General features: G+C 38.6%; 2 pseudogenes, besides 2 other annotated features; both read left to right on the top strand.

The window, feature by feature from the left end:
* RNU6-120P (RNA, U6 small nuclear 120, pseudogene) lies at nucleotides 3,326-3,428 on the top strand (annotated as a pseudogene).
* RPL21P128 (ribosomal protein L21 pseudogene 128) lies at nucleotides 4,129-4,682 on the top strand (annotated as a pseudogene).
* Nucleotides 11,421-11,480: an enhancer, noted in NCBI's record as "active region_13132". NCBI's record gives its function as "activates an Ori minimal core promoter by ATAC-STARR-seq in GM12878 lymphoblastoid cells {active_cell/tissue: GM12878}" and the evidence as "EXISTENCE:reporter gene assay evidence [ECO:0000049][PMID:35858748]".
* Nucleotides 11,511-11,730: an enhancer, noted in NCBI's record as "active region_13131". NCBI's record gives its function as "activates an Ori minimal core promoter by ATAC-STARR-seq in GM12878 lymphoblastoid cells {active_cell/tissue: GM12878}" and the evidence as "EXISTENCE:reporter gene assay evidence [ECO:0000049][PMID:35858748]".

Here is an 11,732-nt window from a genome sequence, read left to right as displayed (position 1 = left end):
TGGAAACCATTTAGGCCTGAAAATTCGAAGAACATGCTTGTTCATCGGAGCTTCTCATCTCCTGGTTTTAGTTCCTGGCGGTGCCCAGCTATACTTTCTGCTGTTGCTTAAATTGGCTTAAGTTGGTTTCTGTTTCCTGCAATAACCACATCAAAATACCTAAAACCTTGGTGATACAGTTGTAAATAGGAAAATCCTAAATAAACCGTTCAAAAGTAGCAGTACATTGGGATGAATGTGTGTGTATTTATCTCTAGAACTATGAGGGTAACATAATATTACCCTTGTAACATAATATTAGAAATTTTCTTTCTTTTTTTCTTTTTAAGATGGAGTCTCTGTCACCTAGGCTGGAGTACAGTGGTGCAATCTTGGCTCACTGCAACCTCTGCCTCCCAGGTTCAAACAATTCTCCTACCTCAGCCTCCCAAGTAGCTGAGATTCAGGCACATACCACCACACCTGGCTAATTTTTTTGTATTTTTGGTAGAGACAGGGTTTCACCCTGTTGGCCAGGCTGGTGTCAAACTCCTGGCCTCAGGTGATTCAGCCGGCCTCGGCCCCCCAAAATGCTGGAATTATAAGTGTGAGCCACTGTGCCTGGCCTGGAACTTTCTTTATATGATACATATGTCAATCATTAGCTATATAATAACTTCAACATATACCAAAAAAGCAATTGATAAAATATTAAACAAATTCCTAATGAAGCTTCAAAAGCAGATTGGATAGATAATTTTAGATGGGACTCAGCATAGTTTTAACTGTAGTGATAACATTATTCTATGTCAATTATCTTCGTAGTCTAATTACTTCCGAAGAAAGTTTGAGTTTGGTGCACTAGTATACAGTCTTAACACTTTCCTAACACTTCCTAATGTCCTTTTTTTTTTTTTTCCACTGAGCAGTTGGCATTAGGCTCAGTGCCTTTTTTGTTGTTGTTGTTGAGACAGGGTCTCACTCTGTTGCTCAGGCTCGAGTGCAGTGGTGCAATCATGGCTCACTGCAGTCTACTTCCCAGGCTTAGGTGATCCTCCCACCTCAGCCTCCCAAGTGGCGGGGGCTACAGGTGCTCGCCACCATGCCTGGCTAATTTTTTATATTTTTTTGTAGAGATGGAGTTTCGCCATGTTGTGCAGGCTGGTCTCAAACTCCTGGCCTCAAGTGATCTGCCCGCCGGGGTCTCCCAAAGTGCTGCGATTACAGGCATGAGTCATGGCACTCAACCAAGCTCAAAGCCTTAAGCAAGGAATAGTAATAGAATGTTACAACATTGTTTTTGTGTTATTTTATTTATTTTTATGGTTGCCTTCCATTTATAGAAAATGATTATGTTTTTCCATCTTCCATAATGGTGTAAAGCTTCCTTTTTAGTGGAATTTAAATCTAAAAAAATTACACAGTTAAAGAAAAACATTAGGTAAATAAAATCATATGTTGTAGTAGATATGATGTTAGTATTTAACTGATGTCCATACATCAGTGAATAGAAATACAGTCTTTACATGATAGCGAGTATTTATTTTAAATCAAAACTTAACATATGCTTAAATATGAGTTGTTTCTGAGGAAAACTGACAAAAGACAAGGATATCTGTTGTCTGTCTCTACTGCTGTAGTTAAAGCACTGAGACCTGAAATAGATGTGAGGTATGATTACTGGTAAGAAAGAAACCAAACCAAATGTGTAAACATTATTTAGTATGTCTAACACATGATATTTTGTCAAATTTAAGATTTTTTTTTTCACATTTTAGACTCCCTGAAATTGAGATACATCTCAAAAATGATAGCTTGTTAGTGTCCTTTCCTTTGGTGGTATGTAAAATAATTATATATCTTATAATTGATATTGTTTTACATTAAAATATGGTAGTTATCAATAAACCCTTAAAAATTTCAAAATGAGAAAATTTTGTAGACACAATAAGTTCAATAAAATGGCTGGGTAAGAGATGCTAAATATATCATAATCAATAATAGTGAAATAATCAAAATAAAAGTCCTTTTCAGAATGACAGCAAGATTTTTAGAATATCCAGAAATAATCTCAGTGAAAAATCTGTGTGGTCCAGGTGATAACATCTATAACATTTTGTTAAAAAATATTTTTAAACATTTTTGGGCTGGGTGTGGTGGCTCATGCCTGTAATCCTAGCACTTTGGGAAACTGAGGCAGGCAGATTGCTTGAGCCCAGGAGTTTGAGACCAGCCTGAGTAACATAGCAAAATTCTGTCTCTACAAAAGAATACAAAAATTAGCTGGGTGTGGTAGCAGGCACCTGTGGTCCTAGCTACTCAGGAGGCTGAAGTGGGAGGATCACCTGAGCCCAGGAGGTCGAGGCTATGGTGAACAGTGATTGTGCCACTGCACTACAGCCTGGGTGACAGAGTGAGACCCTGTCTGAAATAAAAATAATTTTTTTGAATAAAAGTTACCAATTATTGATTGGGAATAGCATAAATATTTCTTTTCAAATTAAATTATAATTTAAAATATTTTCAGTTAAAATGGCAGTGGAATGGGGGTACAGTGAGGAAGAACTTGAAAACTTATTCCAAAATTCGTATGTAAGAATAACAAGTTAAAATAACTTTTTAAAGAAGAAAAGTAACAAAAGAAGACTAGATTTTCTGGGCTATCAAAACACACCATATGACTATAGTTATATTACTATACTAGTAGAATAAATATATTTACAATGAAATAGAAGAGAGCAGGAATATAGTTACACATAATTCATCCTTGTTAATGAAAGTATCACAATGAATCATTAAGACAAACTTATTTAATAGATGGTATTAATAGAATTGTTTAGCAATTTGAAAAAGTACAACAGATTCTCACCTTCTTTAATACATCAAAATATATTCACTTATAATTAAAAATAAAATATGGAAAACCAAGCCATGGTGGGAGAGTGCGGGGACAAAAGTAAATAGAAATAAAAATATATTAAGCCTTTGGAAAGTGGAAGGACTTTTTTTTTTTTTTTTTTTTTAGACGGAGTCTTGCTCTGTCGGCAGTCTGGAGGGCAGTGGCGGCAATATCGGCTCACTGCAAGCTCCGCCTCCCGGGTTCAAGCGATTCTCCTGCCTCAGCCTCCCGAGTCGCTGGGACTACAGGCATGCGCCACCGCACCTGGCTAATTTTTTGTATTTTTAGTAGAGACGGGGTTCACCATGTTGGTCAGGCTGGTCTCGAACTCCTGACCTCAGGTGATCCGCCTGCCTCGGCCTCCCAAAGTGTTGGGATTACAGGCGTGAGCCTCTGCGCCTGGCCGGAAAGTGGAAGGACTTTCTAAACATAAAAACAGCAAAAGAAATGCTCACTTGGGCAGCACATATACTGTAATTGAAAGATACAGAGATTAGCATGGCTCCTGTGCAAGAATGACACACAAATTAAATTGTTTAAAAAAGTAAACGTTTTGGTTGTCAAAAATATACTCAGAATTTAAAAATAAATAAAAAAATTGGTAAGAATGTGCAATTGATAAAGGTTAGTATTGTATTTATATTCATACAAATCAATAAGAAAAATTCTGAGTCAATTGATGAATAGGCACAGAATGTAAATTAATGCAAAAAAAACAAAAACAACTAATTGACAAACATATGGAACACATATCCAACCTCATAATAATCAATGATATGCAAATCAATAGAACAATGAGCTCAGATGTAAATAGTAACACACCCAGTGCTGAGGAAAAAATAAAAGGCGCGAAGGCTAGGCGTGGTGGCTCACACCTGTAATTCCAGCACTTTGGGATGCTCAGGCAGGCGGATCACCTGAGCTCAGGAGTTCGAGACTAGCCTGGCCAATGTGGGGAAACCCTGTCTCTACTAAAAATACAAAAAATTAGCCAGGCTTGATGATGCGCCCTGTAGTCCCAGCGACTCAGGAGGCTGAGGCAGGAGAATTGCTTGAATCCAGGAGATGGAGGTTGCAGTGAGCAGAGATCGGCCACTGCACTCCAGCCTGGGCAACAGAGTGAGACTCTATCTCAAAAAAATAAAAAATAAATAATAAATAAAAATAAATAAGAAGGCATGCAACTACTAATAGTGGGAGCATAAACTTGTATTACCAAATTAAAACAAACAAACAAACAAAAAACTCCCTTCCTTTTGGCCGGAACCGCCATTTTCTAGTAATTCGCCAAAATGACGAACACAAAGGGAAAGAGGAGAGGCACCCGATATATGTTCTCTAGGCCTTTTAGAAAACATGGAGTTGTTCCTTTGGCCACGTATATGCAAATCTATAAGAAAGGTGACATTGTAGACATCAAGGGAATGTGTACTGTCCAAAAAGGAATGCCCCACAAGTGTTACCTTGGCAAAACTGGAAGAGTCTACAATGTTCCCCAGCATGCTGTTGGCATTGTTAACAAACAAGTTAAGGGCAAGATTCTTGCCAAGAGAATTAATGTGCGTATTGAGCACATTAAGCACTCTATGAGCTGAGATAGCTTCCTGAAACGCGTGAAAGAAAATGATCAGAAAAAGAAAGAAGCCAAAGAGAAAGGCACCTGGGTTCAACTGAAGCCCCAGCCTGCTCTACCCAGAGAAGCACACTGTGTGAGAACCAATGGGAAGCAGCCTGAGCTGCTGGAACCTATTCCCTATGAATACATGGCATCATAGGTGTTAAAAAAATAAATGATCTCTGGACTGTAAAAATGTTTCTCTTCATTGAGTAGAAGTGTGGTCTCCTCTCCCCAAAAGAAATATTTAAAGCAAATTTTAATTGTGTCCTAATTCATTATGTAATGTCTTCAGTATGCAAATTTAATGTATTTCTTATTGAAATATGTGAGGTAGCTTATTGTGCAACAAATTACTGAATTCTTAGAAAAAGTCCAGGCATTATGTGTGAAATATTTGTACTGGTTTGAAGATAGTCCCTCTAAATCATCAAGGAAGAGATAAAATTATTTACAAAAAAAACCCAACTTTATGTACAAAGATGTTTATAGTAGCATTATTTATAGATGAACAGAGTAATGGTTAAGCAAACTATGGTAAATTTCTAGAATGGAATATTATGCAGGTTTCAAAAGTTACAATTAGAGTAAATATAAGACTGTACGCTGTAAAAATGTATACAATAATTATACATATAGCATATAAAATGAACAAACAATTGCAGAGGGAGAAAAAAGATGAAAAGGGAAACTCCAAAAACATCAACAGTGATGGTAATTGGGTGGTGGGAATATGGGTGATTTTTGTTCTCTGCTTACTTTTCCATATTTTCCAAAATTTTAAAAATAAGCATGAACTATTTTTACAATGAAAAGAAAAACATGATTATTGCTTTTAACGTCCTAGCCTATGCCCTAGGGAATGTATGAAGCAGCAATGACAAGAACACATAAACAAAAACAAATGTATAAATTCAACTAGCAGAGTATTTACACTGCAAATTAAAAGGGGTAAAGTGTATGAGTTATCATGGCTATTAAGAAAGAACACAGAGAGTGTAAGGGTAACATTTATATAAATATGGGTGGGCATAAGGAATCAGTGTCTCTCTTCCAGTTAGAGAGATTTTTAGGGAGGAGGTTACATTTCAGGAGGTATTTGAATGATAGAAGGGAGGGGAAAACAGTGAAATGTCAGAAACATTTTTCTGTTTCCAAGTGTTTGGTATGGAAGTCTGAAAGTTGGGACTGAGATGAGTGATAAAAGTTATGACAAATAAAAAAGAGAAGTAGATATTGAGTGACGAGCCCGTCACTGCCAAAAAAAGGCAAGTCACCAGTTTAGGAACATTAAAGAGGAAGATGTCAGAACCTAAAAAGCAATAGGACAGAAAGTACACTTGGTCTTGGAACTCAGTGGAGTGGTGCTGGGTGGGAGGGGGAAATCTGGATAGGAAGCTGTTACAAAAAAATGAGAAAGAGTATGTAACCAGCTATGTGTAACTCCTTGATCTGGGCTTCCTTCTCTTATTATGGCCACATACCAACTATCTCAGAAATTCCACAAACATAACAGCCCCCACCCTTAGAATAAATTGTAATATCAGCCATTTGCATGCTCGGGGTTGTGAGTTTGATAACAGTAGTGTTATCAAAATGGCAATGGCATCAAGCAGGGAAGTAATTGTTTTACAAAAATCCTTTTCCCTCTATTTCTTCATTCTGTTTCTAGGGTCAGTGCAAGTATTTTTGCAGTTGAATGGAATAGCAGCTTCTAAGAAATAAAAAACAGATGTTAGAGGAAGGCATTCCAGGGTGAGTCAGGAGAAGTCTTAAGGGTACTCTGTGCTCACAGCTTGCCCTACACTTTTCCTTGCTGTAATCTTGATAGATGCCTACATCCCCAACTCTGCGTAGGCAGCATCAAGGCCATAGTAGATCTAAAAATGTCAAAATACATTTACTCCCACGCCTGAATGTCTTGTGGAAAGAAAAGCTTGACTGATCTCAAAAGGAGTACTCTTAGGTAAAGGAACATACTCTCTTGATTCGCTTTTCAGATCTAGGAAAATACACACAGATAAACTACTTATGGGTAAATATTAATCATATAAAACCAACCTGTTAAAACAGAACTGAACTTAATTTTTTACAACTTTCTGTTTACTAAAGTTGTTCAGTATCAAGTGAAGTTATTCTATGTGAATAAAAAAGGTATTGCCCTTTGGAAAGTTATATTAAACATAATAAGTATCATACTTTCTTGGAAATGTTAGCTAAAGTTTCTATAGGAACTTAGCCACATCACACTGTTAACACGTTTGTGGTATGCATTTTTGAAATAACATGCAATTTATAGCACTGAATTAGAATTGATGTGTGATCATACCTGCATTTTTGGTATGTTTTTGAAATAGAATAAACATGATTATCTTCTAAATTGAGGAAATAGAAAAACATAGGTAGAATGTGTTTATATGAGAATATGATAATTTTGTAATAACTTAAAACACCTGAAATCATTCTTTAATTTGTTTAAAAAGCTTTTACATTTCTTTTGGACAGAGTTTCCACTGAAGTGAAGATTAACATGAGTTAGTCTGTCATTCCTTTACCAAGGGTCTATTGTGGGCAGCTTCCTTTCATAGTGGGTAATATAAAGAAGTATAAAAGGCATTCCCAACATATATCTCTCTATATATTTACTTATGATTAATTCTTTTCTGAAATTCAACTGTTTTGTCTTGTATTGCTGTAAAACTATGCCAAAACCTAGTGGCTCAAAGTATCAACCATTTTATTATTTGCCCATGATTCTGCAGTATGGGCAGAGAGCTTGGAGGGATCAGCTTGTTTCTTATTCTACGTGCCATCAAAGCTTGGGGGCTGCTGGAATGGGCCAGTCTGGGGTCTCTGTTCTCAAGGTCTGTAGGATTCTTTGGTTGTCTTCCATGTGATCTGTTCATGTGGTTACTTAGCTTGGGTTTCCTCACACCATGGTGATCTCAGTTTAGTCTGACTTCCCAGAGCATAAAACTGTTAGCTGCCAGGCACCCTCAGAGCTTAGGCCTCCTGCTGGCACAGTGCTACTTTTGCTGCATTGTACTGGTTAAAGCAGGTCACAAGACCCCAGCCCGGATTCAGTGTGGGAGGGAATGCCACAAGGGTGTGAATATTGGAGACATAGTTCATTGGGGGCAATCTTTGGAGGCTAGCTAACACATCAATGTTTATTAGAGAAATTCACGAACATGATACCAAGCCTATTTCCTACCAAATGACCAAAAGCAAAGGAATGCTCAGCTTAATTGTCTTTTACTATACAGAAGTCTACACCCAAATCTTTCTGATGTTTCCATGATCTCTCCCAAATATGCCTCATTCAAATTCTTTCAGCACTGCAGTCTCTTCATTAGGTTCTAGCATGACTCTCATCTACACTAAATGTTTCCAGATGCCTGAATTCCAAAATTCAGAAAAATTAAGATATAACTAGTTTAGTCTATATATTTACAGAGAGTTGTCAACTTTGTAAATTTTTTTTAATAATTATTTTTTTCTTTTTTAGAGACAGGGTCTTGCTATGTCACCCAGGCTGGAATGCAGTGGCTTGGTCCTAGCTCACTGCAGCCATGAACTTGTGGGCTGAAGCAATCCTCCTGCCTCAGCCTCCCAAGTAGCTGGGACTATAGACACATACCACCACGCCTGGTTAATTTTAAACACGGGGATTTCGCCATGCTGCCCAGGCTGGTCTGCAACTCCTGAGCTCAAGCGATCCTCCTGCCTTGGCTTCCCAAAGAGCTAGGGTTACAGGCATGAGCCACTGCACTTGGCCAACTTCGTAATTTTTTAATTGCCAATTAAGAACATTAAAAAATGTACCATCTACTATTACTCTTGCTTCTTAAAGTATGTTTAATTTTTTAAAAAGTAACAGAATTTCATACTGAAGGGCAGCCTTAGATCTGGTTACTTTATGAAAACTTAACTATATATCTTTATTGTTCTCATTTTGCTGCAAGTCATGAAAATCCCACCAAGGACTGCCACTGGTTCCTGGACCCAGTGTTTGGGAATCCCTAGTCAGTTCGGTGTTACTGAACATTTTCAAGGCCTTCTTAAAATTTTTTTTTTATTTTTTGAGACAGGGTCTGGCTCCATTGCCCAGGCTGGAGTACAGTGACATGATCTCAGCTCACTACAACCTCTGCCTTCCAGGCTCAAGTAATTCTCCCACCTCAGCCTGCTCGGTAGCTGGGACTACAGGTGCCACCATGCCTGGTTAATTTTTGTATTCTTTTGTAGAGATAGGATTTCACCATGTTGCCCAGGCTGGTCTCCAACTCTTGAGCTCAAGTAATCTGCCTGCCTTGGCCTCCCAAAGTGCTGGTATTACAGGTGTGAGCCACCACACCCACCCTTCAAGACCCTCTTCATTCAACCTGCTAAAATCATTTCACATCTTTACCTAAGGACTGTAATCAGACTGATGATATTGCAAATTCTATAACTCCCTCATTTACATGGAATCATTTAAATCTGTGCTAATGTAAATAATCCAATTGTTAAATACTTGTCACTGTATTAGGACTAGATAGTGTTAACATAGTCATAGTTATGAATGGGGGAGTTCTGTAGTTAGATTGTCTCTGTTCCAATCAGGGTCTGAGCAAATATTAACAACATTTCTCTCTGCACTTCAGTTTCCCCATCTGTGGCATAGTTTTAAAGAGATTATGTATAAAGTGTATGGAGTAGTACCTAGCACATGGTGAGCACTCAGTATGTTTGTTATATTATTATTATATTTATACATGGTATCAGTATTTTGCACTTGCATGTAGGATTTTAACATACTTTATATTTTAAGGGTGATCTCAAATATCCACAATACTTTGGAAGAGATTAGTCACAATTAGACGATAGAATTTTAAGGTTGGAAGGGAACTTTATTTTATTTTTATTTATTTATTTTTTTGACACAGAGTCTCGATCTGTCACCCAGGCTGGAGTGTAGTGGCGCCATCTCGGCTCACTGCAACCTCCGCCTCCCGGGTTCAAGCAATTCTCCTGCCTCAGCCTCCAGAGTAGCTGGGATTACAGGTGCCTGCCACCATGCCCAGCTAATGGAAGGGAATTTTTAATATAATATGATTCCACCCTATTAAAGGTGAGGACCTCTTTATTAAAAAAAGTTGGCCTGGCGCGGTGGCTCACGCCTGTAGTCCCAGCACTTTGGGAGGCCGAAGAGGGTGGATCACGAGGTCAGGAGTTCGAGACCAGCCTGGCCAACATGGTGAAACCCCATCTCTACTAAAAATATAAAAATAGGCCAGGGCAGTGGCTCACGCCTGTAATCCCAACATTTCCGGAGGCCAAGGTGGGCGGATCACCTGAGGTCGGGAGTTCAAGACCATCCTGACCAACATGGAGAAACCCCATCTCGACTAAAAATACAAAATTAGCTGGGCATGGTGGAGCATGCCTGTAATCCCAGCTATTCGGGAGGCAGGAGAATCACTTGAATCCAGAAGGTGGAGGTTGCGGTGAGCCGCGATCGCGACATTGCACACCAGCCTGAGCAACAAGAGTGAAACTCCATCTCAAAACAAAATAAAACAAACAAAACACCAAAAATTAGCTGGGCGTGGTGGCGTGTGCCTGTAATCCCAGCTACTCCGGAGGCTGAGGCGGGAGAATCGCTTGAACCCGGGAGGCAGAGGTTGCAGTGAGCCGAGATCGTGCCACTGCACTCCAGACTGGTAGACAAGAGTGAAACTCCGCCTCGGAGAAAAAAAAAAAAGTTAATTTAGAGTCCATCTATCTTATGGCAGAAGATAACTAGATTTAGAGTCCATCTATCTTATGGCAGAAGATAACTAGTGATGTGTCACAATAATCAGAAGAGCCTTGTAGGTAAGTAAGCTATATATGGACCCCACCTATATTTCTAGTAGATATTTCTAGAAATATATGGACCCCACATATATTTCTAGTAGTTCTGCCAGGTTGGTTATCACTTCCACTTATATTTATCAGTGTCACTCATGTATTGTCTTAACTACTTGTATTTTTTCGTATGTGTCTAAATGGAAAGCAACATAATGTTCACGGTTCTCTGAGAAACAACAAAATTCCTAATACCTAAAAATGGTAATAATAATAAAAAAAAGACAAGCAGGGTTTAGGAAATTTATTTTAGGGCAACTGCCTGATTTATTTTAAGCCCTATGCTTAAAAATAAGTCTAATTCACATGACTTAAAATGCTGGAGCCAAGAAAAGTCGCTGCAAAGGCATTTAATGAAATACCTGGTTTGTCTAGTTGTCTTTGTTATGATTTTTGTATAAACCAAGAACGTCCTATCTTGATATATATAGTGGATTTTATATCTAAATATTTCTTGTATTTAATAAATTGAAAATAGAAATAGACATTTTTTCAAACAGTGTAAGATTTTCCTAACCTCTGACTCACATCGTAAGGCTGGTGGACTGTTCAGATGCTGTACGATGCTTTTTACTCCGATGCTTTTTGGTTCATCTGTAGCATTTTCCATCATGGGGTAAAAGATCCACATTTTCTATTTCTAGTGATCCTTAATTTGGCTTCTGAGCAAAAATAAAGTTTGATGAGGAATAAATTAAGGTAGATTTCCTGCTGAAACCAGTGAAGAACATAACTTTATCAGCGGGGGTGAGTGACAAGTCTTTCACCTTTCCTCACACCACAGTCAACGAAGTAACGGAACTAGGAGAAATGCCCATTATTCTCATGTCCTACATTAGTTCTGATAAAAATCACAATTAAGTTTCACTGAATGTTTTGACATTGAAACGGCAGCATTACACGTCCAGGAGAGAACTACAGTAGGGGTGTTATGAGAACTAACACGAACGACTTAAAAATATTGATTTTTTTCTACGAGATTATTTTCCTTTAAAAAAATTAAATTGAGCTTGACTTCTATTGACTGTATCTTCCGGAGTCAGTATTTTATGGCTCCCCTGACACACACGCCTGGCGTGGGAGGGCTGAGCGCTGCAGCGCTTCGGAACTTTCCCAGTGAATCGTAAATGGGTTCAACGCCGGGGCTCGCGGAGGGCTGTCCATGGAGTACCACTGAAAACCAAACGCCACTGGTGCTCAATGCTGGTACCTGCCGACGAAAAGGCTTCTTGCCTAAAAAAGAACCTATTGCCCCACCCTAACAGCAACAAGGAGAACAAGCACTCTCTCCTCGTCAGAAGTCTCTGGACTGGCTGCAACCCAGAGGAAACAGAGCTGGGGCATCTG

Source organism: Homo sapiens, chromosome 18, assembly GCF_000001405.40.
Source record: "Homo sapiens chromosome 18, GRCh38.p14 Primary Assembly".
In the NCBI taxonomy this organism is placed as follows: domain Eukaryota; kingdom Metazoa; phylum Chordata; class Mammalia; order Primates; family Hominidae; genus Homo; species Homo sapiens.
Note: the sequence above shows the minus strand (reverse complement) of the source record. Positions and strands in the feature narration are given on the sequence as shown.